The sequence below is a fragment of the Homo sapiens genome, chromosome 3 (genome assembly GCF_000001405.40).
Source record: "Homo sapiens chromosome 3, GRCh38.p14 Primary Assembly".
NCBI classification, from domain to species: domain Eukaryota; kingdom Metazoa; phylum Chordata; class Mammalia; order Primates; family Hominidae; genus Homo; species Homo sapiens.
Genome location: NC_000003.12, coordinates 122,004,527 through 122,027,690, shown reverse-complemented (window position 1 = coordinate 122,027,690; position 23,164 = coordinate 122,004,527). Strand labels below are relative to the sequence as shown.

The following is a 23,164-nucleotide window of genomic DNA, read 5'->3' as shown; positions in this document are numbered from 1 at the left end:
TCTTGTCTATTTACTACCTTATAATTTCCAGTTAATTTTAGAAACGGTTTGTAAAATTCTGAAAAAATTTCAGATTCTTATTAGAAATACGTAGAATTTGTTAATTTGGGAAGAATTGTCATCCTTAATGATACTGAGGGTTCTTATCCAAGAACACAATATATCTTTGCATTTATTTAGGTCTTTAAAAAAAAAGTTTCAGGCCAGGCGCAGTGGCTCACTCCTGTAATCCCAGCACTTTGGGGGTCCAAGGCGGGTGGACCACCTGAGGTCAGGAGTTCAAGACAAGCCTGGCCAACATGGTGAAACCCCATATCTACTAAAAACACAAAAATTAGCTGGACGTAGTGGTGGGCGCAGGTAATCCCAACTACTCAGGAGGCTGAGGCAGGAGAGTCTCTTGAACTTGGGAGGTGGAGTTTGCAGTGAGCTGAGACTGCGCCACTGCAGTCCAGCCTGGATGACAAGAGTGAAACTCCGTCTCAAAAAATAAAACAAAAAAAATGTTTTCATTGAGAATGCTGGCTTGATACTAACTTAAAACAGTAACAAAAAAAGAAAAAAATGTTTTCAGTAACGGTTTACAATTTTCTTCATTAAGCTATTCCACATATTTTGTTGGACTTATTTCTAGTTACTTAATAGATTTATTGTGTATTTTAAAGTCATATCTTCCAAATATATGTTGCTGGTATATTCAAATGTCAGTGACATTAATATATTGATCTTGTTTCCAGCAACCTCTCTTGTTAGTCCTTATATATAATGTATAGATTCTCTTTATATTCTGTGTAGATAACGTAATATTATCAATAATATTTTTACTCTTCATTTTCAGCCTTTTAATTCTATTTTATAATTGTGTTGGCTAGAATATCCAGTATAATGTTAAATAGGAGTTGTAATAATAAACATACTTGTTCCCAGACCCCTTTCATTAGCTTCCACCACCTCCTGCTTTTATCCTTACTCCAGATTGTTTTGTTCTAGGCCACTAGCCAAGAAGTAAGTCTCTCAGTCCCTGCCGACCCAGACTTCCCTGTACAGGCATGCAGCTCCTACAAACCTCATTCAGCCAGTTGTGCTTAATAAAGGTGTCCAACCATCCTTAGGAGTTTTATTTTGGTGGTCCAGTACTCTCTAGCGCAATGTGTCTGAGGTGCTTGAAAACATTTTATTCTTTCTATATGTTTATGTTCATTAAAGGAATCACTATCTATCTAGGGTCAATAGTCAGAAACCTATATCCTTGTCTCAACCCCCACACTAATTGATCATCAATTATGTCAGTTCCACATTCTACATAACTGTCAAAATATTCTCTCTGCTCCATTTCCAACACCAGTTATTGACTTGGGCCCTCAGTTCTCCCACCTTAACTATAGTAACAGTTTCCTAACTAGTCTCCCTGTCTTTCATCTAAGTTCCCAAACACCATTCTTCTCACTGCTGCCAAGTTTATCTTTCGAAAATGCAATTCTCATTATGCCTCTCCGGATTCAAAATTCTTCATTGGCTCTCCATTGTCTCCTGCATGAAGTCTTAGTTCTCCAGCTGGTCATACAGACTCTTTATTTATTCTGGCTAGCTCTCTAACACACCAGCCTAGCAAAACTTAAGTGCTTATTGTTCAGCTATGCTGTTTATTGGTGCTGTGATTTTTGTATAGGCTGGTCTCTCTGCTTGGATTGCTCTGGCAAAGTCATATTCATTTTCAAACCTAGAGCAGATGTCCCTTCCTCCAGGAATTATTGATAAAGAGTGCAACAAATATTTATTGAGTATATCTATATTTCAGATACTATGCTAGATGCTGGGAATACAAAATGCATAAGACATAGTCTGAATCTTCTAGTGTCAATCAGCTACTTACACTTCTTACCTCCCTTTAGCTTTAAGTAGCTGGTGCATGATTTTTACTTACCTGATTCTTCATTCTTTTCCCTGTATGTCTACAAAATCTTCTCCATTCTTGATAAATACTGTACACATATAAATGTACAAATATTACATTATTCTAACACAGATGCACATATATAGTATTCAGAAAACACACAGTGTTCAGAAACATTCATAGACACAGTTTCAACTAGGAAGTATGATTATAAATGATGAGATAACAGCTTAGTACTTTGTGGTCAGATCCTAGCTCAGTCAACACACAGAAGCATTGTACAGCTAGGGTGGTGAAGGGTATTGTGTTCTGAAAATAGATTGCCTAAATTTGCATCTCAGCTCTGCTACTTACAAGCTGGGTAGGCTTGGGTAAGTTAATGAACCTTTGCACCTCATCTGTAAAATGGGGACAATGATGATCCCTGAGTCATAGTGCTGTTCAGTACAAATTATTGAATTTGTATTTACTTCAATAATGAAAGTGCTTGGAAGCTAGTTTGAGCGTAGTGAGTTATCTCAATTGGTTATTCCCAGTCAGCTACAGATGGAACTCCTTGTTGTCTTTCCCCCATTCTCACTAGCACATTTAGCTAGCATTTTTTTAAAAGTGCCTAGAATAGTGCCTAAGACAATGTGTTTAATACATGGTAGCTATTATCATAACTTTGTATAGGAGGAAGTCACTATCAGCAGGTCAAGTGATTTTTACTTTATATCTAGCAATGAAAGAACTGCTGTTGTTCTGAGCCACGTACATGCTCTTATCTAATCTTTATTGGACGAATGGCACATGTGGGAAGAATGACTGGCCCAAGAGAGCCCAGAGCTGTGGGATTCAGTTTTCCCTTATGTAGAGCTGAATAACATATGTGGAAAGAAATTGTATTAGCACACATTGACAGAGCCAGCTAGCTGTAAACACAGACAGATGGAAATATATTAATAGCTATGTGAGGGTCTATAGTGTTTCAGCTAAGAGCACAAACTCTGGAGTCAGATCACCTCACCTAGGCTCATTATTCTGCCATTTACCAGCATCGTAACATTGAGCAAGTTATCTCTTTGTACCTCGGTTTCCACATCTATAAAATGGGATTGATAATAATAGCCCTTATTTCATGCAGTTATTGTAAGACTTTAATTAAATAAAGCATGTGAAGCACTAAGAACATTGCTTGGTACATAGTACATAATAAATCATGAAGAAAAAAGATGCACACAGTAGACAGAGAAGCAGGTGAAAATAAGTCATCTAAGTGTTCACTTCAAGAGAAGCCATGAAGGTAGATGTTCAACTGGATAAGTAATTCCCAAGGGAAAAATAAGGAAATTCTAATTCTAATGCACTTGAGATAAACTTTATTAAAGCTATTTTTCATTTGTTTACATAGAAGTCTCCAACTTATCTTCCCTATTATGTTTGGTTTACAGCACCAGTATTTCCCAAAATAAGTTCTGTGGAGCATCTGCCCTAAACCATATGTGAGAAAAAAGGGTTTTGTGGCTGAATGACTTTGGGGGAATGCTGAGTGCCATATTTCTTTCTATATTCAAATGTACATTAACACTCTAAGGTTTAATATGTCCTGAAAAATTGTTTCATTTAGTTTAATCCAGCATTTCTTGAATTGACTTAATAATAGAGCCCTTTTTTCATATACTGTGTATTAACATTCCGGGGAACTACTGTTCAACGGAACAAACATGGGAGAAATGCTGGCTTAGATGAATATTAAAATGGCCTTTATACCAAAGCGGGGGCTGAGGGGTATGGGGGGGAGGTATGGGAAAGACAGGGCTCACATGTCTTTTTAGACTGGAATTGAGCACTTGCCGAAGACTATTCACAAACCCGGAAACTATGCAAATCCCTCAGGATCACAGACATCCAAACATACACAGTGTTGCTGGGAGCATGTACAGGGTCTTTAGAGGGGGTTGAGGGACCTGACCCTCAACCCTCACACTGCAGCTTCCTCCTGCTGCTGCTGCTGCTGCTGCTGCTGTGCTAGGATCCCTCCACGGAAGACCTATGAGGCTCCTAAACATTTTACCATCTATCTTTGGCCACTTACTTCCTGAATTTACTCTCTGGAAGAGAAGAGGCCCACTGGGGAAAAGAGAAGTCAGATCCAGGAGGGAACCGGAAGAAGGAAAGACAGGGAGAAGAGACTGGGTTAAGATCCCGCATCAGATCTAGGACAAGGATGCTCCTCTGGGTAGAGGCGAAATGAAAGATATCAGCAACGCAGGGTAAGGGGCCCCCTCACAGCAGAGCAGGGCATGACATGCGCTCAGGAGAAAAAATATCGACTTCTAAGGTTAGTGACCAGAATGGGAGCTTCCTGAAACTGTGTTTAATGAATTTAATGAATTTTTATTCATTTATTTTTCTTGAAGAAAAATGTGATGGCTGGTGGGCTTCCTGCCGTGGAAGGAGAGACTGAGATTACATGCTACGTGGCCTGGTGCAAAGAGACCTAAAGTCTTTGCAAAGCAAAAGGTCAAAACCTTGATCTGGCAAGGTCAAAACCTTGGTGGGGGTTGAGGTCTGTGAGTGGCTTCTCAGTGACAATGAAGGATAAGAAAAAATAAAATAAATATGTACCTACTTATAATATTTTTATAAGAAAAAATAAATAAACATTAGAATATTAGAATAAATAATAGAATAAATAAATAAATATACCTACTTGAACAGTGCCTAGCTATGGAAAGCTGCAGCAGGATTTTTTTAAACTCCCATAACTTTTTATTTTTCTATAATATTTTACTTTTATAGTTGTAGAAACTTGAGTCAACTTCTCTAGTTTATCTCTACCTTCTAGAAACAAATATTTATTTATTTATTTATTTATTTATTTATTTATTTATTTATTTTCGAGACCGAGTTTCGCTCTGTCGCCCAGGCTGGAGTGCAGTGGCGCCATCTCCGCTCACTTCAACCTCCGCCTCCCAGGTTCAAGTAACTCTCGGGCCTCAGCGTCCCGAGTAGCTGAGATTTCAGGGGCGTGCCACCACGCACGGCTGTTTTGTATTTTTATTAGACAGGGTTTCGCCATGTAGGCCAGGCTGGTCTCGAACTCCTGACCTCGGATGATCCACCCGCCTCGGCCTCCCAAAGTGCTGGGATTACAGGCGTGAGCCACTGCGCCTGGCCTAGATACGAATCTTTATTTCCTAGAAAATCTGAACAGACATTACGTGTAAACTTCATATTACTGTGTTTTTAGTAAAACAATGTTTTGCAAGTATTTATAAGGGAATGGAAATATAACGCAGGAAACACACCCTAGAAAGTTATATCCACATAATTCTAGAAGGAGAGGGGGATACATTTGCAGGGGATGAGATTTCCCGAGAACTTCTGGAGGAAAGTGGGAATCTTCTCCGTCAGCGGGGTGGGGGACGGTGTTTCAGCGAGCAGGAGGCGGCAGCAGGTAGGGAAGGTGGCCGCAGTCCCCCGGGAGGCGGGGGCGGAGCAGGAAACGGCGGCGCGCGGGGCGGGAGGCGGAGCCGTGGGGAGCGCCGCAGGTGGGGACGAGCCGGGCGGCACCTGCCCCGGGACCAGAGCGGACGCTCCCTCCCCGCTGCGCCGAGGGAGGGGAAACCCGAGGGGTTCCTTGGAGAAGGTGGTGCGTCCTGGGGCGGCAGCTGAGGAAGAAAGACGCAGTGCCCCGAAGCCCCTGAGCTGAAAAGGGCCAGAAAGGGGGCGGCATGGCATGGCCCAAACTGCCCGCACCTTGGCTGCTGCTCTGCACCTGGCTCCCAGCAGGTGAGCCTTGGAAAAATGGTACCCACCCTGGACCCAAGGAGACAGGAAGCCATTGTGGCGTGGCCTTGCAGAGCTGGCCGCGGGCAGGGCAGTGGAGGCCTGGGCCGCGCTCTGGTGGCGCTTGGCATGGGCGCCAGGAGGTGCGGGGACTGGATCGAGTTTCTGCCTGTGGGAACCTGTTGCTTTTCTCTTTTGTTAGTCCAGGCCCTTCCCAAACAGGTGCAACTGAGAAACCTGGAGCCTTTGAACTTTCGTTCCTGCAGTCATTAGGCAGTTCTTGATCTCTGAAGCTGAACTGATAGGGGCAAAAGCACCGTTCTTTAAAATTCCTAATTACTTTTTCCTTTCATCTGATATGGTGACAACCATATTGGCCCAGAAGTGCATATATTTCATTTCTGGGAGGTTATAATGTGTCCTCAGTATGTAAAGCAATGTTTGGCCAGAATCTGAATCTACTGTGCAGGACCACAACATGTACTTCTGGGCTAACCATGTTCAATGTCACTTTTCTACTTTCTCTGTATCCAGTCACTGCCCTAACTTTACCCCTTGCTCATCCTGCATCAGGTGTCCAACCATCTACCCTCTCAGGCTTCATTCTCTTACCCTCCACACCAATCTCCTCTCTGTTTTGGAAAACATGATTTTGTGTATCTCTGTGTGTGTCCTGGAAATCTGACAGAAGTGTGTATCTCCACGAGTGAAACCAGGTAGGAAAGGGTAGCTGAGGGACAGAATGGGCAGGCTCTTTCAGCTCTTTTCCAATTAGGATGTAGGTGTGACCTTGCAAAGAAGAATTTATAAGTTCCCTTGGAAGCTCCACCCTGTTTTATTTCATTTTACCCCTCCCCTCCCTTTCAGAATAGCTGCCCTCTTACCTCTAAGTTGTCAGTGGAAGGTCAACTTAGAGTTTGCTCACAGACCAATTTGAGTCTTGTATTTTTAGGTTGGGAACAGATGCAATATGAAGGTGTGTTGGCAGAATGTTCTTTCTACAAGCTCCATAAGACATAACGAATTTCTCAGGTATAATCAAATCTTATTCAGACAGGATTCTACCATAACTTAAGCGTAATGCTGAGAATAAAAGGGAGAGAGGCTTGCAAAAGGGTAGGGAAACTAGAAAATTGATATCCCCCAAGGCCCTCTGGCTTACAAGATTTTCTACAGGATATAGACCCTAGAAACTGTCTGAAGTTGACAAGACTAGATGTTGGACACCCACGATGCACAGGGAAATAACTAAACCTCACCTCAATTTGTGTCCAAAATTTCACCAAACACCATCTTAGGCTATGAATGCAAATTTATAAAAATCCCACAGCTTTGCACAGTCTTCTCTCCTGTGGCTCCCCTGCTCATCTCAAACTCCACAGCAGCTGGGGATTTCTGAAGCTGCTTGAGCTACCTTTTTAGAAAAAATAGAGTTCTGCTCCCACCACTGCCCCTGGGTATTCTATCCCCAGAATTAAGACTTTGTAATCCTAAGCAAACCTCTAAACTCACGTTCACTTTATAGATGAGAAATTGATATTTCAACTGTTTGACTCCAACACTTGGAGGGGAAATAGCTATTTTAGCAGATAGTTTTCCTATGTGTAGAAATGTAAATAAACTACATTCAGCTATTTAATGTGGTTTGTGTCAATGATGTTTATGTGACACTGGGCAAGTTACGAAACTATTCAAAGCTTCCAGTAAATAGCAATTATTATAGTACATATCTCATACAGCTTTTGTGAGGATTAAGTGAAATTAAGGTTTTAAAGTGCTTAATAGAGTGCCTGAACAAAGTGAGGGAAAGCTTAATCAATATTAGCTAGGGTGATAATAGTAGTCAGGAATTAGAGCCAGGTAGGATTGTTTAAAGCTAACTTTAAGGAAACAAGTTTCTCTATTCCTCCTTCCCCTATGGCTAAGAAATGTGAGCTATAGTAACAGGTGATTATCAGGTTGGAATTCTGAATCTCCTTCTTACTAGTTGTGACTTTGGATGGATTACTTAAACTGCCTTTGCCTGGAAAACAGGTGAAATTCCTGACAAGCCAACTCCCTGTGCCCTCTCAATAAGGCCAACTATTGTTGGGTGGATTAAGGTCAAGCACAGTGTCAATGACACGCTGCAACTGTGATATGCACTTTGGAAAACCCTGTACTAGAGTGTGTTCATTTTGGTCCATCACCTTGTTCTCTCCTGTCTCTGAAGAAGAGTCAACCCAATTCTCTGATTAGCCTCCAAGTTCCCACAATTGCAAAGTGTGAGGCAGTAGTAAAATTGTGTCATATTTAGGTATTTGCTGGTCACTGTGGCTTGGGGCCCCTAATGAAGCTTCTGAGGCCAGGGAGTCTTGTGATATTATCACAGTCCTTGTGCTCTGAGCTGTGTAGAGATCACTTGTCAGAAGTAGGTGTGTGTGGTCTTCACTCAGGAAATACTGGGCATAAGTCCTTCTCTACTCCCCCACCTTTTCCTTAATTTTTAAGCCAAACTTCCCAAAGTGTCTGTCAAGATCAAACTGAAGATCAAGCTTCCTCTCTTGCTCTCAATATCTATCAAAGCAGTGGTTTCTGATTTTTTTTCACAGCTCCCAGAAAGATCCAAGTACATTGTGACATGTATGCACACATATACAGTTTATAAAATGGAAGCAAAATGATCACAAAAATTTTATTACTAAGTTGAATAAAATAATAACAATGGATATTACATATTATCTTACTGATATTAAAATTCATTTAAAAAATCATCCCCACATTAACAATATCACAAGTGATATGTGAATATCTGCTCCTTAAAACATTAAAATAAGGCTAAAGTAAGTACCATTGTTGGCTAATAGCTCTAGTTGCCTTCATCCAATGTCAAAGTTTATTCTCAGAATGAAAGTTTAGTGTCCCTGCCGATCCCCCAAACTCTAAAAGGATGTGTGTCATTTCTGCTTTAGTGAATTTTTTTTAACATCACAGTGTGGTGTTAACTTGCAGATCCACACAGCTATCAACTTGTATTATCATTCTTTGGGAAATCAGACAACCGACCCCTAAGTAAGAATATCCTTAGAGAGACAGCATCTAGAACAGTAATTTTTCCTGGGTGGTGGGGGTGGACGTATGGACCATACCGTAGACTTAATGAAATCTTACAAAGTTCCCTGATATATCTCAGGGTGAGGGGGTATGGGTGATGGATGGGAGACTGTCCACTCAGCTGCTCCCTTGTCTCCTTGGGAGCTCCTGAATACCTCCCCAGAATCCCAGAGCTCTGTTGAACACAGGTAGAAATCACTCCCAGCCTTTATCTTCCCCTCCCAGCCAGTTTTACAGATAAGGAAATCTGGACCCAAGTCATGTGTCTCAGGTTGACAGAGTGGAGTTAGTTTGAGAACTGGGACCAGAACCCTGGTGTCTTCACCCTTTCTCCATTGCTCTCTCTCCTATTTCATACTGTGGAGCAGGTTTTTTGTTTGTTTGTTTGTTTGTTTTAATTATACTGGGTTACATGTGCAGAACGTGCACTTTTGTTACATAGGTATACACGTGCCATAGTGGTTTGCTGCACCCATCAACCCATCACCTACATTAGGTATTTCTCCTAATGTTATCCCTCCCCTACCCCCCCCCCACCCCAACAGGCCCTGGTGTGTGATGTTCCCCTCCCTGTGTCCATGTGTTCTCATTATTCAACTCCCACTTATGAGTGAGAACATGCGGTATTTGGTTTTTTGTCCTTGTGATAGTTTGCTGAGAATGATGGTTCCCAGCTTCATCAATGTCCCTGCAAAGGACATGAACTCATCCTTTTTATGGATGCATAGTATTCCATGGTGTATATGTGCCACATTTTCTTAATCCAGTCTATCATTGATGGACATTTGGGTTGGTTCCAAGTCTTTGCTCTTGTGAATAGTGCTGCAATAGACATATGTGTGCATGTGTCTCTATCGTAGAATGATTTATAATCCTTTGGATATATGCCCAGTAGTGGGATGGCTGGGTCAAATGGTATTTCTAGTTCTAGATCCTTGAGGAATCACCATACTGTCTTCCACAATGGTTGAACTAATTTACACTCCCACCAACAGTGTAAAAGCGTTCCTATTTTTCCACAACCTCTCCCGCATCTGTTGTTTCCTGACTTTTAATGATCACCATTCTAACTGGCATGAGATGGTATCTCATTGTGGATTTGATTTGCTTTTCTCTAGTGACCAGTGATGATGAGTATTTTTTCATATGTCTGTTGGCTGCATAAATGTCTTCTTTGGAGAAGTGTCTGTTCATATCCTTTGCCCATTTTTTGATGGGGTTGTTTGCTTTTTTCTTGTAAATTTGTTTAAGTTCTTTGTAGATTCTGGATATTAGCCCTTTGTCAGATGGATAGATTGCAAAATTTTCTCCCATTCTGTAGGCTGCCTGTTCACTCTGATGATAGTTTGTCTTGTTTAATTGAATTCTAGTATACAGAAATAGAAACAGGTGTCTGCTTCCTGGATGTCTAACTAAATGCTAATGTTTAAACATCTTGCCCCAACAACAATGCAGTGAAACAAGCCGTTGGGTGATTAGTGTACAGTCTACCTGGGTTTCTTTTACCATAATAATTTATTTCATTATCTGAAGTCCTTGGTGGAAAATAAAATTGTGTGTTTTAAGAATTGAGAAGACTCTGGCCGGGCACGGTGGCTCACGCCTGTAATCCTAACACTTTGGGAGGCCAAGGCAGGTGGATCATTTGAAGTCAGGAGTTCAAGACCAGCCTGGCCAACATGGCGAAACCCCTTCTCTACAAAAAATACAAAAATTAGCCCAGCGTGGTGGCAGATGCCTGTAATCCAAGCTACTCGGGAGGCTGAGGCAGGAGAATCAATTGAACCCGGTGGGGCGGAGGTTGCAGTGAGCCGAGATCGCGCCATTTCACTCCAGCCTGGGCAAAAGAGACCCCTTCTCAAAAATAAATAAATAAAATAAAATAAAGAATTGAGAAGACTCTGGCCATGTCCCCAGTTCTTTCTAGATCTCCCAATCTGCAACTCTTGAGATAAGGAGGGATCAGAGGAAAGCAATTTTGACACTTTCTTTATTTCTCATAACCAGGTAATCACTGAGTTCTGTTACTTAGTCCCAGGATCTGCCCCTTCTTTTCTATTTTGGGTGACAATTCTTATACTAGCCTACTTTAAGCATCTTCTTGCCTCTAGTCCTGCTACTTCTGTCTACTTCCAACCATTCTCTATGCAGATGATAGGTTAAACCTACCTGAGTTAATCATTCCCACTTTCATTTTAATCTTCCATCCAAAGAAGCTCCATTAGATCCCTATAGCTTATGAGACTGGGCTAAAGCTCTTTGTTTGAAATTCAAGGCCAACTAATTCTGGGCTCACTACTTTGGGAAGCCTTGTCCCCCCAGATACAGGCATGGTCTTATTGTATAACCTTTCTCCTCAACACACACCCTTCTTTCTTGCTTTTTGTCTGGCTGTACTAGACATGGTTAATGTTAACCATTTTTTTGAACTTTTAGGGCACTTAAAATTTGTTCCAAGCAATTTAGTCTATCTTGCATGAATGTATCTGTTCTTTTGTTTAGCAAATGTTTAATGTGCACTTGGTGCAAGACCTCGTGCTGGCAAACAAAAGCCATCATGGCCCTGGCCCCCGTGGTGCTTATTGTCTAAAGGGAATTCAAGTGAATGTAGAAATACAACTGTGACAAGGCCAGGAAAGAAGGATACAAGGTACCACAAGAGCACTTAGTAGATGGATTTTGCTCAGTCAGAAGACCCTCCCTGAAGGGATGATGCATGAGTACTGAGGAACGATGAATTCAAACCAAAGTAATAGCATCTGCAAGACTGCTGGATAGGAGCTTAGTGTGTATGAGAGATGAGAAGAATGTTAGCGGGACTGAGTGAAGGAAGCCACAGGAAGAGTGGTGGAGTTGAGGCCAGAGAAGTGGGTAGGACCAGATGTGCATGGCTGCATGGGTCATGGTAGGAAGTTTTGTGTTTATCTTAACAGAAATGGACAGCTGTTAGAGGTTTTTAAGGAGGAGGAATTGGGAGACTAACAGCAATGTGGAATCCACCTAGCAGGGGGAACCAGAGCATGCATGAGTACAGTACTAGGTAAGCACAGGTGATATGGAGGCTGGACATAATAGTAGCTTGTGCTAGGATAGTAGTGAAATTGGAGAGAGAGAGAGATTCTGGAAATATTTCGGCGATAAATAAGCCCAATCTGATTGTAGACTGTGTATTAGTCCGTTCTCATGCTGCTATAAAGAACTGCCTGAGATTGCATAATTTATAAAGGAAAGAGGTTTAATTCACTTACAGTTCTGCAGGGCTGGGGAGGCCTCAGGAAACTTATAATCATGGCAGAAGGGGAAGCAAACATGTCCTTCTTCACATGGTGGCAGGAGAAATGATTGCCCAGTGAAGGGGGAAGCTCCTTATAAAACCACTGGATCTTGTGAGAACTCACTATCATGAAAATAGAATGGGGAAACCACCCCAAGATTCAATTATCTCCACCTGGTCCCTCCAACAACACATATGGATTATGGGAACTACAATTCAAGATGAGATTTGGGTGGGGACACAGCCAAACCATGTCAGACTGTATATGAAGAGCAAAGGAAAAAAAGATACCAGGATGATTCCTTCCTAGTTTTTGGTCTTTTCCATTCACTGAGATGGGAAATGTGGGAGAGGCCCAAGTTTGTATGGAAGGATGATGATTTAGATTTTGGGCTTGATTTAGAACTTGAAACAACCAAGAAGAACTATCAGGAGCATTTGGATACATGTGTCTGTTTTAGTCCCTTATTGTACAGGAGTAAGATTTAATATTCAATGCTCTCGTAGTTTCTGATCAATGCTTTAAAACTCATCCATGACAGGAACTACTTTGTCTGTGTGTTTACTTGTTTATCATTGACTCTCCTACCAGGAGCACAAGTTCCAAGAGTGCAGGGACCTGTATCTCTTATTTTCTACTAATGACTGGCTCAGAGTGTGTACTCAATAAATGAATGAATGTGTGTGTTCTGGTCATGCCTAAATTTGCATGTGCTCTGAGATTAGTGTGTGGAGACATGAGTCACTAACCTGGGTGAATGACTTTGGGAAACCCCAAGCATCTGCCCCTCAACCAGGTCTTGGCCTCTCCCCCGGTAACCAAAAGGATGTTAAGTTCAAACCACCTGAGTGGCTATTTATTTCACTTAGTAGTTTATCAAAAAAAAATTTAAAGATTGATATTTTCCTCTTTTGAATAGGTTGTGGTGAAACATGGGACTGTCACTGGCTATTTATGGGAATATACATTTCTTTCCTGAAGTATCTATTCGAATAGAAAAGGTTTATTCCCTTTAACTCACTTTGAGATATATATTCTACTGGAATAAAAGAACGCATGTGAAGACGTACTTATATAATCATATTCATTTCAGTAATTAATGCCAGCATTGCTTATAATACTTAAAAGTCAGAAACAACCTAAATGTCCATAATTTGGAAAATGTGTAAATAAAAGTGGCTCATTGATGGAGTGAAATGTTCATGCAGTTACTAAAAAAAAATAGATCTGCATATACTGATATACAATATATCATTAGTTTGAAGAAAAAGTCACAAATCAATGTACATAATATGATTAATTTAAAAAAAACAACATAGGAAAAGATGTGAAGGGATGTAGACCAAATTGTCAACAGCAGTACCTCTGGAAAGTGGAATTCATGGTGAGCAAGGAGGAACTTTTTACTTGATACCCCCTCCACTGTTTGAAGTTTCTCACTTATTTATTTTGTATTAACAAACAAAAAGGAAGAAGAGCTTCTGTACAAAATGATTAAAATAAATTTGTGAATGTCCCTTAAGTGCGTGAATATTCCTCAAAGGGTTAAATCTCAACCATTTAGAAAACTTATCCAGAAGACATGGTAGTGTAGTGGAGGTCTAAGCTTAAATCCAGCTTTGCTACTTTCTAGCTGTGTGGCCTTAAGCAGATTACTTAATCTCTCAGAATTTTCCTCATCAATGAAATTGAGAGAAAGTAAAGCTTATCTCATCAGTTTCTTGCAAAGGTTAAATGAGATAATGTATAATAAAACACCCAATACCGTGTCAAACAACATAGTAAGTGCTCAGCACATAGCACTTTCCTTCTCGGGGTGCTGCACTGTTAAGTGTTGCATGCCAGACCTTGGGTAAACACACAGTACCTAGACATCATTCCGCTCCCCACCCATCTGCTTTCCTGGTCTCCTCTCTCTGCTCTCCCTATCCTTTCCTTCTTGTTCGTGACCACTCCCTCTTGTCTTTGTCTCTTCTTGTCCATAGCTAGTCACTTCTTGTCTTGCTCCTTCTTGTTCATAGCTAGTCCCTCTTCTCCTTGATTCCGCTCATATTTGCACTGTTATCTGAGGAAATGTAACAGGCACTGATGGTAAATATGCTTGGTGAGATAGCCTGCTCAGCCATAAACTCTGATAGCATTGAACCTGTGTGCATTTTGTTAACCTGCCACATGGAGTCAGGGTGCTTGTATACCTGAAAAACACTCAGGAATCAATTCCTGTCAGTCCCAGGCCACTGCCCCTTGCCGGCAAAGACCTGCCTTCACCCTCCTGCCTACCATCCCTTCCAAGCAGGCCTGTTCATAGGAAAGGAGGGGAAGTGCCATCTAGTCCTTCAAAATAGTTCTTAATTTTAAAAATATTTTAAAATATATACCTGTATTCCTATACTGTGTGAGTATCTTCTACAAACTAAAACTCCTTCTTGCCAAATCTAATACTACACAGGAAATGAGGAATAAAAAAATGTGCAAAGATGTGCATGTATTTAGGAACAGATGACATTTAGTTGTAAAGATACTCTGCCCTGGTTGGTGTGTTTCCTTCTGTTTTAGTGTAGGATGGTAGTCCCCACTCAGCACAGCAGCCTGGCCTTGGAAAGTACCTGATGGCGGGAATCAGAGAATCCCCTTCCCCTTCTCTCCTTCCCATGAGCTCTGATATCTCATCTGAAGTTTCCTTTCTACCCATGTGACAGGTCTCCTTCCCTTCTTTCACAGAGCCTGGCAAGCTGTGAATGAGTCCACCAGGGTACAAAGCTATGAAACTTTTGAAGCTTTTGAGGCACCAACTCATTTTGCAAAGAGAAGACAATCATGATAGTTTACATTTGTATCATTTTTTCAAAATGCTTTTACATGCTAGTCTCAGTGGATCTGGAACTCCTGAAGTAGTCAAGATAAGTACAAATGATACAAATGATAGCTTAGGTTTGTTGAATGTCTATATGTGCCAGGCTCTTTGCTAAATGGGGGACATTTTTTTATGCTCACCACAACCCTCTGAGGCAGGTATTATCTTCATCTCAGTTTTGCATACAAAGGAAAACAATAGTTTGGAAATAACTTGCTAGGTCAACTTCTGACTCTAACCAAATTCCCTTTTCTGACCCCCAGCAACTAATGTTGACTAGAGTGTTTAATAAACTGCTGTTTATATTACATTACCATTCAGCTGTTAGGGATTGGAGACAGAATCTGAACTCAGGGAGTCAGGTTCTAGAATTAACATTTTTGAGAGAAAATGATAGAGACAGCTAGGAAATGAGGAGTCAATGAACTGGGGAGGAGAAAATTCCACAGGATAAAGGAATTTTAAGAATAGAAAAAAAATTAAGAATTTGAAAACTTGTAGTAAGCCTGAAAGAGCAAAGTTGCAACCAGGATGACTACAATCAGGACGTTTCTCTTTTTTGATCCTGTTCACATTTTCAGCCTGATTTGCTGCTTTGGGTCCTTTCTTGAAAACTCCACCTGCTTAGTTCTGTGCATGCCCAGTGTGGTTAGGTTTACAGAGAAGTTAGAGGATATAGGAAAAGAAAGTGGGTGATTTTTGCCTTTGAGATGGACTGTCTTGCTACTGCCTTTCCTTCCCAATCTGGAAAATCTGACTGCTTTTTAAGAGCCTGGCGCCTGACTTCTACTTTGGAAGATCAAGCTTGCTTGCTTGGGAAAAATTGGGATTTGTTGTCAGCAAGGCCCAAGCTCAAATCCTGATGCTGACACTTTTTAGGTATGTGATGTTGGACACGTGGGGGTGTGGCTTATACTCTGAGCTGAACTTCTGCCCACCTATATGAGCAGGGCTGTTGCCTAGCTGAGGGGGTTTGTGAGATTTAGAGACCAAGAATGTACATCACCCGGTGCATAATAGATGCTAAGGACCCACAGCAACAACTGAGATATGGGAGAAGAGTTTGCTGGGTTGTTCAGTACCTCTTCTCCTGGGACTCTTCCCGTGTGTGTGTGTGTGTGTGAAAGAGAGAGAGAGAGAGAGAGAAAGAGAGACAGGGCAGGGGGTGGACGTTTGAGGTCTGCACAGGATGCTGTGGGGCTGGCTGGCAGACCCCTGGAGAGAGTGTGAATGAGCTCAAGATGGCCAGAACTTGTTGAACCTGGCAGATATCAAGGCTTGATATTCACACAGGGATGAAATAGAAGAGAAGATAAAAGAGTACCCAAGCAGCAAAGTCAGTGCTGACGTTGGTAAAGGTGAGTTTTGTCACCCCAAATGTGGTTTGTCCACAATAAGGGCATTCATGGAAGGGGAGCTGAGTGATCACCTTTCTCCCCATTTCCCCTCCTCAAGGGTGTCAGATTCTGCAATCTTCAAAGCTACCCCACAGCAATTTCTGACTCTAACCAAATTCCTTTTTCTGACCCCCAGCAAACCTGGTCTCCCTGCTCCCAAATGCGCTACCTCTATACAGGTGATATTGACTAGAGTGTTGATTAAACTGCTATTTATATCAAATTACATTCAGCCAAATAAGGAGCCTACATGTTCTTTATTTTACTGTGTCAGAGTGACTGCACCAGTTATATTTTAATTATTGCTCACATAGCCTGGCCCCCAGCTCAAATTATTTGCAAACTTGTGAATACCAATTATCTTTTATTTAAAGAATAGCCAAGCTGAGAGGCAGGAGCACTGCTCAGGGACAGAATCTCGACTCTGACCCCCTTAGAAAAAACGAATGACCACAGACAAGTCCCTTAAATTTCCAAGCCTCAGATTTGTTGTACAGGAAGTGAGCACAGCTAATCTTCTCCCAGGTATCACATTTAGTATATAAAAGAATATATTTGAAGATGCTGTTGAACCTAAGATTTTATTTAGACCAATATCAGTGTTTTCCTCTCTCTTCTCATCGGTATGTGTGTTATGGAACAAAATAAGCCAGTGTTGACAATGGCAACCTATTCATTGTGAAAATCTTATCTGTGGCTGCTTCTACTATTCAGATAAAACTGTGGTTGGTGAGATCTCCAAGGTCTATTTCAGGTCAGTTCTGGAAGAAAAGAAACAAACAAACAAAAAACAAAAAACACACAAAGGGGTAGTCACAGAGAAAGAACAAGAACCAAAAATTAGATTAAGAAAGCCATGTTAGGCTTGAGATGCTGGTCACCGGCCCTTCCATTCTAATTGGCCTGATTTCTGGGACTCTACAGCTTACGGAGACAGCAGCTTTTTTTCCCAAAACCACTCAAGGTTTATTTTTAAAATGATATATATTTTTTTTTCATTTACAGCTGAGTGGGGAAGTCATCTATCTTCCTAAAAACACCACTTTCACTGTATTACTGTTCTTCAGAAAAGACTTCAGTGATGATCCATGGACAAGAAATTGAACTGGATTGTGATTTAGACTTCACCCCATCGCCCCACCTCCCACTCACCACCACCAGCCCCGCCTTATTTATCTTCTCTGTTTTCCATAAAGCTGGAGACACAGCTAGATTGGTTTCCCCCAGGTTACCCAAGTAACTGCCCCTTCCTAATAAGGCTCTTTGCTCCCTCCTTTCTTGCTTACTGAAACAATGAGTTTCTCTGCCTTCTTCCTACTTCTCATGCGTGATCTTAGTTCTACCTGCTTCTTGGAGCCTAGGTTAAATCATTTCCTTTCATGAAGTCTTCCTGCCCACAGCTCTCGCCTGCACTGCCGCAGAGTCTCTATCCAGCACATCTGCCATGGGGCATCTGCATCACAGCCCAGTCCTGGAGATAGGTGGTCAGGTCATTTCTGTGAGTGCCTGTCCTGAGCAGCATTCTGCTGTCTGTCTATGGATGTGAGAAACCCAGATGCAGGTGCCTATCAGAAGTTTAAGGGGACAGTCTTACAAGGGCTGTGACCAGTAGGTCAGGCAGGACCCAAGAATCATGTGCTCTAGCGTTCAAGACAGGCCCACCTAGCTGCTCCGTAGGATAATAACTACATTTGTTTTGTTTGTGGGAGTACCTTGGTCAAAATGAAGGTGGCTCCGTTTGAAAACTCTGTTGGAGAAAACCCCAACTCCAACCTCTTTCTCCTTGGCCCTCGTAATAAGGGGAAAAAAAGGAAGAGACTCACATACTGACACTAATGTGGCAGTGTATGTGCAAGGCTTCATGCCAAGGACAGTAGATTATCTCATTGCATTCTTGCAAGGACCTGATAAGGCTAGCACTATCATCATCTTCATTCATGGCTGAGAAACTAGCTCAGAGAGAGAGTAAATAACTTGTCCAAAATTCAAGTAAATATTAAAGTTTAATTTGAACCCAGCTGTATCTGAATCTAAAGCCTGTGTGTGTGTGTGTGTGTGTGTGTGTGTGTGTGTGTGTGTTTTAAATTGAGTCTACACCAGTGGTTCTCAGAGTATGGTCCTTAGAGCAGTAGCATCAGCATCTCCTGGAAATTAGTTAGAAATTTATATCAATTGCTGTGTGCAGTGGCTCACGCCTATAACCCCAGCACTTTGGGAGGCTGAGGCTGGAGGATTGCTTGAGGTTAGGAGTTCAAGACCAGCCTGGGCAACATAGCAAGACTTCATCTCTACTAAAAATTTAAAAAGTCAGGCATGGTGGTGCATGCCTGTAGTCTCAGCTACTTGGGAGGCTGAGATGGGAGGATCACTTGAACCCAGGAGGTCAACGTTGCAGTGAGCCATGATTGCGCCACTGCACTCTAGCCTGGGCAACAGAGCAAGACTGTATCTCAAAAAAAAAGAAAAAAAGAAAGAAAGAAAGAAAAAAAGAAGGCCAGGTGCAGTGGCTCAGGCCGGGCGCAGTGGCTCACACCTGTAATCCCAGCACTTTGGGAGGCTGAGGCGGGTGGATCATTTCAGGTCAGGAGTTTGAGCCTAGCCTGGCCAACATGGTGAAACCCTGCATCTACTAAAATACAAAAATTAGCCAGGTGTGATGGTAGGCGCCTGTGATCCCAGCTACTTGGGAGGCTGAGGCAGGAGAATCCCATGAACCCGAGAGGTGGAGGTGGCAGTGAGCTGAGATCGTGCCATTGCACTCCAGCCTGAGTGACAGAGCGAGACTCTATCTCAAAAAAAAAAAAAAAAAAGAAAAGAAAAGAAAAGAAAAGAAAAGAAATAAAAAATGCGTGTCTCTGGGCCTCACCCAAGTCCTACGGAACTAGAAACTCCTAGCATAGGGTTCAGTGATCTGGGCTGTCACAAGTCCTCTGGTGATGCATACTCAAGTTTGAGTACTAGTGCTCCACACTAAACCTCCCACTAGAGAACCCCTTCACAACTTGGCCTAGAAACCAAACTAACATAGGAATGTTCCAAGGTGCTGGTTATGTCTGGACCCCTGACTGTGCCAAAGTCCCACCTGACATTTTGGTGCTACCTAATCCCTTATCAAGGCACACCTGGAGCTTTAAGTATGCCTGTAGGTTTGGAGGGTAGGGAGAGGACATTTTTTAAAAGGAAAAATCTCCTCTTAATTTCTTCAAGTCTTTCTTGATCCAGTTTGTCACATCTGTTTTATTTGCTCTATGCTTATGCTCACTGCCTGTACTGCTGAATTTCCACTGGTTAATATATTCTTAGTCATTCATTCCATCATTTATTCAACAAGCATTTGTTGGGTGCCAAGTAGGTGACAGGCACAGTACTGGGCACTGGTATTTGAGCAATGACTTTGAGAAGGCCGACTGCGTTTTTCTCTGAGCCCACAGTTAGCAGACCATCAACAAGAAGCATGAAAAGTGCTGCCTAGGGGTAGGTTGGCGCACTTAGGAAAAAAATAGGGAGGCCCCTCTCCCAGATTTGCAGACAGGAGGGCTGCTGGAGAAGGTAGGGTTACAGACACAGAACCCTGTCTATGGGGTAGACAGAAGTAGAAACCCTGTTCAGCTGAGGTCCCAAGGCACGAATCATAATTAGCCCAGGGAAGAGAGTGGAGCAGTGGCAGGTGATGTGGAAGAGTGCTCCAGGCTGAAAGAGCTGCACCTGGAGAAGAGAATGGTCTTAGCATGGGAAGGACTGAAGAAAGCTCAGAATGGCTGACCCCTCGATGGGACGTGAAGGGACACGGGGCAGACGAGAAGGGCAGTAGGCTGACCTAACGGGTTTCGTAGGCCTGGTTAGGGAGCTTGAACTTTATCCTTAGGAAACGGGAAACCATTTTAAGAAGAGACATGATGTGAGGAAAAAAATATATTAGCAGTGTCACTTCTGTACAAATGTGGCTTTATTTTGATACAATCCTTATATTGTTGTTGGATATGTCATCACTGTTAATGCACTGTAAATTCCTGGGAGTTTTCCTCACTCCTTTCTTCCTATGTCCCTCTGAGGCTGCTGAGTGCGTTCTCACCCCACCCCACCCATAGCCTGCCCAGGTGAGTAAGAACCCAGACTCTGTCTGTGAGCTCCTAGCCAGGTCAGGCAGGATGGCAGGCAATATCTTTTGCCCATTTGCATTGTTTTTCTTACCCATGAGCAGAGTAGGTCACCTTCAGCATTTTCTCCTGCTCTTGGCTTTAGGGTGCCTGTCCTTGCTTGTGACGGTCCAGCACACAGAACGCTATGTCACCCTGTTTGCCTCTATCATCCTCAAATGTGACTACACCACCTCTGCCCAGCTCCAGGACGTGGTGGTGACATGGCGCTTCAAGTCCTTCTGCAAGGACCCTATCTTTGACTACTACTCAGCGTGTGAGTATCCTTACCCCCTTGGCCCTCTGTGGGTCCCAGACACCTCTGTGACATACTGCGGTTAGGGTTGAGGGATTATTTAGGATTACAAATCTTGGTAGTGAGGAGAAGACACAAAGATCACCTAATGTAGTTCCTCTGTTTTATAGATAAACAAACGGAGCCCAGGTAGATGAAATAATGTATTCAAGGTCACATACTAGTTTATTTTAAAATTTTTTCCTGCTTTGTTCTCAAAAAAATTTAAAGAAACTTAAACATTAGGGAAAAGTCCTGCCTCCCTGTCCATTCCTGGTTCCATGCCAATGTGCTGAGCTGATGATGCAGGCCCGCCTCCCCTCACCCCCACCACCTTAGAATGCAGGCAAGAAGACTCTACACTCAGCACAAATGATGAGTGGTCATTTGTGAAGTCTCTTGCTCCTTGCTATATTCCCTTCTTCAGTATGCCTTCGGGAAGATGGTCATTCCTCTGCTGACTAAGCCCTCCAGTGCCCCCCCAGGCAGCCCTTTAACTGTGGGAAGTCTCTTAGTGCTACACAACTCCTCCTTAGAGTTGGCCAGTCCTGCCTTTCAGTAACAACTGCCCCAGGCATATGGGTTGTGCTGTCTGGATCAGAGCCCTTTCCTAGTTGCCCATTTCTGCCTTCTCTCAAAGAACAAAGGAACCTAGAACCACCCCACTGTTAGCACCAAGACAATTAATTTTTTGGAGATTTTGAGAATAGAAGTAGACACCCTGTTCATAGGGAAAAGTGAGCCTCCTGAGAAGAAGCAAATGGAGAGGGAGGCATTAGTCTTCACCTTTTTGAGCCCTTGAGCTAATGTCTCACAATATGATTTGAGTAGAACCTCAAGAGCTGTCTGAGCCACCCACTGAGTCTGCCATTGTCCCCAAAAGACTCCTCTCTAAATTGAGGCATTGTTTCCTGGGGGTTACTCTTAAAATGCCTGGGTTAAGTGGCCAGGGAGGAGAGGCTAGGGTAGCAGGCATTTGCCAGGGGCAGATTTAACAGCTCTCAGACCCTATATTTTCTGTTTTGGTTTTTTTTTTGTTTGTTTGTTTTTGTTTTTGTTTTTGTTTTTGTTTTGAGATGGAGTTTCGCTCTTGTTGCCCAGGCTGGAGTGCAATGGCGTGATCTCAACTCATCGCAACCTCTGCCTCCTGGGTTCAAGTGACTCTCCTGCCTTAGCCTCCCGAGTAGCTGGGACTACAGGCATGTGACCTTATGTTTTAAGGGCAGGTGGATGAATTCCATGGGAGCAGAGAGAGGCTGGGGTGACTCTGAAAATGAGACAAAGGAAGTTGGAATAGGAGATGGGGAGTAGAGCCGGCATGAAAATGATGGTCAGGAGTCTGGCTGCTCAAAATGTGGTGTCTGGTATCACACAGATTCTCATTAGAAATGAGAATCTCAGACCCCACTCTAGACCTGCAGAATCAGGATCTTCGTGATTAACAAGAGTCCCAAGGGATGAATAGTCTTGGGAAAAATTGAGACACTTCACTGTGTCTCACGCCCGGAGCAGGAAGGGAACCTTTTTTTTGTGGGAACCCCCTATTGCTGTGTGACTCTAGTGTGCCCTCTCTCCTCAGCATACCAGGCAGCTTTATCCCTGGGCCAGGACCCATCCAATGACTGCAACGACAACCAGCGGGAAGTTCGCATAGTGGCCCAGCGGCGGGGGCAGAATGAGCCCGTGCTGGGGGTAGATTACCGGCAGCGCAAGATCACCATCCAGAACCGTGAGTGCGGGGGAGGTGTCAGGGGAACTGGGGGTGGGGGGAGGTGCAGACACCAGGCCTGGCAGGCTGAGTCAGCATGGGATTTCCCATTTCTTTCTGCTGCCTGTTGGTCTACTTGGTCACTGTCATTGTTTGAGGAAAGTGCCAGCTTCATAGAATGTGCTGCACCAGCTGAAGTGACTTCCCTGGAAGTTGGTCTCTGGACCAGAGGTTGTTCTGTTGCTATCTATAGCTTTGGCTAAAGGTCTAGGGGTGAATGGTTCCCTTTGCTTTCCTGAGATTCAGGGCTAAGTTGTGGATCAGGTTTCTTTGATTCCTTCCACAAATTGCTCTCAGGGCCTACTGAAACCCCAGGTCCCTGAGTTTCCTTCCGGCTATTCCTGTTGTTCACATGGAAGGAAATAGGGTCCTCTGAGCAGATGACCACCTTGAGACCACTGTCCTCCACTGATAGAAGAAAGAACACTGGGCTTGGACTAAAAAGCCCCAAGTGAGAATCCTAGTGCTTCCTCTCACTAGCTCAGTGACCAGTGATCAGTTATTTTCTTTGGCTTCTGTTTCTTCATCTGAACGACAGGCATCATGGTATCTTCCTCCCTACTCCAAAGTGAATATCTAGCGCGCTATGTGAGAGCTGTGTCTAAAGCCTATCTATTCTCTGTGCCCAGTGCAGGGAGTAGTGGTGAGAGCCCTGACTCTGGAGTCAGGTGCGGGTGT

General features: G+C 42.9%; 1 protein-coding gene across 7 annotated transcripts in view, besides 5 other annotated features; it reads left to right on the top strand.

The window, feature by feature from the left end:
• The window catches only part of ILDR1 (immunoglobulin like domain containing receptor 1), a 74,333-nt gene that overhangs the window by 33,965 nt on the left and 17,204 nt on the right, over window positions 1–23,164 (top strand). For 5 of the 7 annotated variants that reach the window (NM_001199800.2, XM_047448043.1, NM_175924.4 and 2 more), the window contains exons 1-3: window positions 5,444–5,671; window positions 20,530–20,700; window positions 22,298–22,447. In NM_001199800.2, the coding sequence (NP_001186729.1) occupies window positions 5,614–5,671; window positions 20,530–20,700; window positions 22,298–22,447 (379 nt within the window). In that variant the 5' untranslated portion in view covers window positions 5,444–5,613. Of the gene's footprint in view, window positions 1–5,443; window positions 5,672–19,855; window positions 20,701–22,297; window positions 22,448–23,164 lie in introns of those variants that run through there. The other 2 variants (XM_047448044.1, XM_005247389.5) reach the window with 2 other exon arrangements.
• Window positions 5,290–5,449: a silencer, noted in NCBI's record as "silent region_14638". NCBI's record gives its function as "represses an Ori minimal core promoter by ATAC-STARR-seq in GM12878 lymphoblastoid cells {active_cell/tissue: GM12878}" and the evidence as "EXISTENCE:reporter gene assay evidence [ECO:0000049][PMID:35858748]".
• Window positions 12,888–12,937: an enhancer, noted in NCBI's record as "active region_20354". NCBI's record gives its function as "activates an Ori minimal core promoter by ATAC-STARR-seq in GM12878 lymphoblastoid cells {active_cell/tissue: GM12878}" and the evidence as "EXISTENCE:reporter gene assay evidence [ECO:0000049][PMID:35858748]".
• Window positions 14,797–14,846: an enhancer, noted in NCBI's record as "active region_20353". NCBI's record gives its function as "activates an Ori minimal core promoter by ATAC-STARR-seq in GM12878 lymphoblastoid cells {active_cell/tissue: GM12878}" and the evidence as "EXISTENCE:reporter gene assay evidence [ECO:0000049][PMID:35858748]".
• Window positions 21,278–21,779: an enhancer, noted in NCBI's record as "NANOG hESC enhancer chr3:121724759-121725260 (GRCh37/hg19 assembly coordinates)". NCBI's record gives its function as "activates a minimal SCP1, AML or CMV promoter by ChIP-STARR-seq in primed H9 embryonic stem cells {active_cell/tissue: H9 hESC(primed)}" and the evidence as "EXISTENCE:reporter gene assay evidence [ECO:0000049][PMID:30033119]".
• Window positions 22,479–22,598: an enhancer, noted in NCBI's record as "active region_20352". NCBI's record gives its function as "activates an Ori minimal core promoter by ATAC-STARR-seq in GM12878 lymphoblastoid cells {active_cell/tissue: GM12878}" and the evidence as "EXISTENCE:reporter gene assay evidence [ECO:0000049][PMID:35858748]".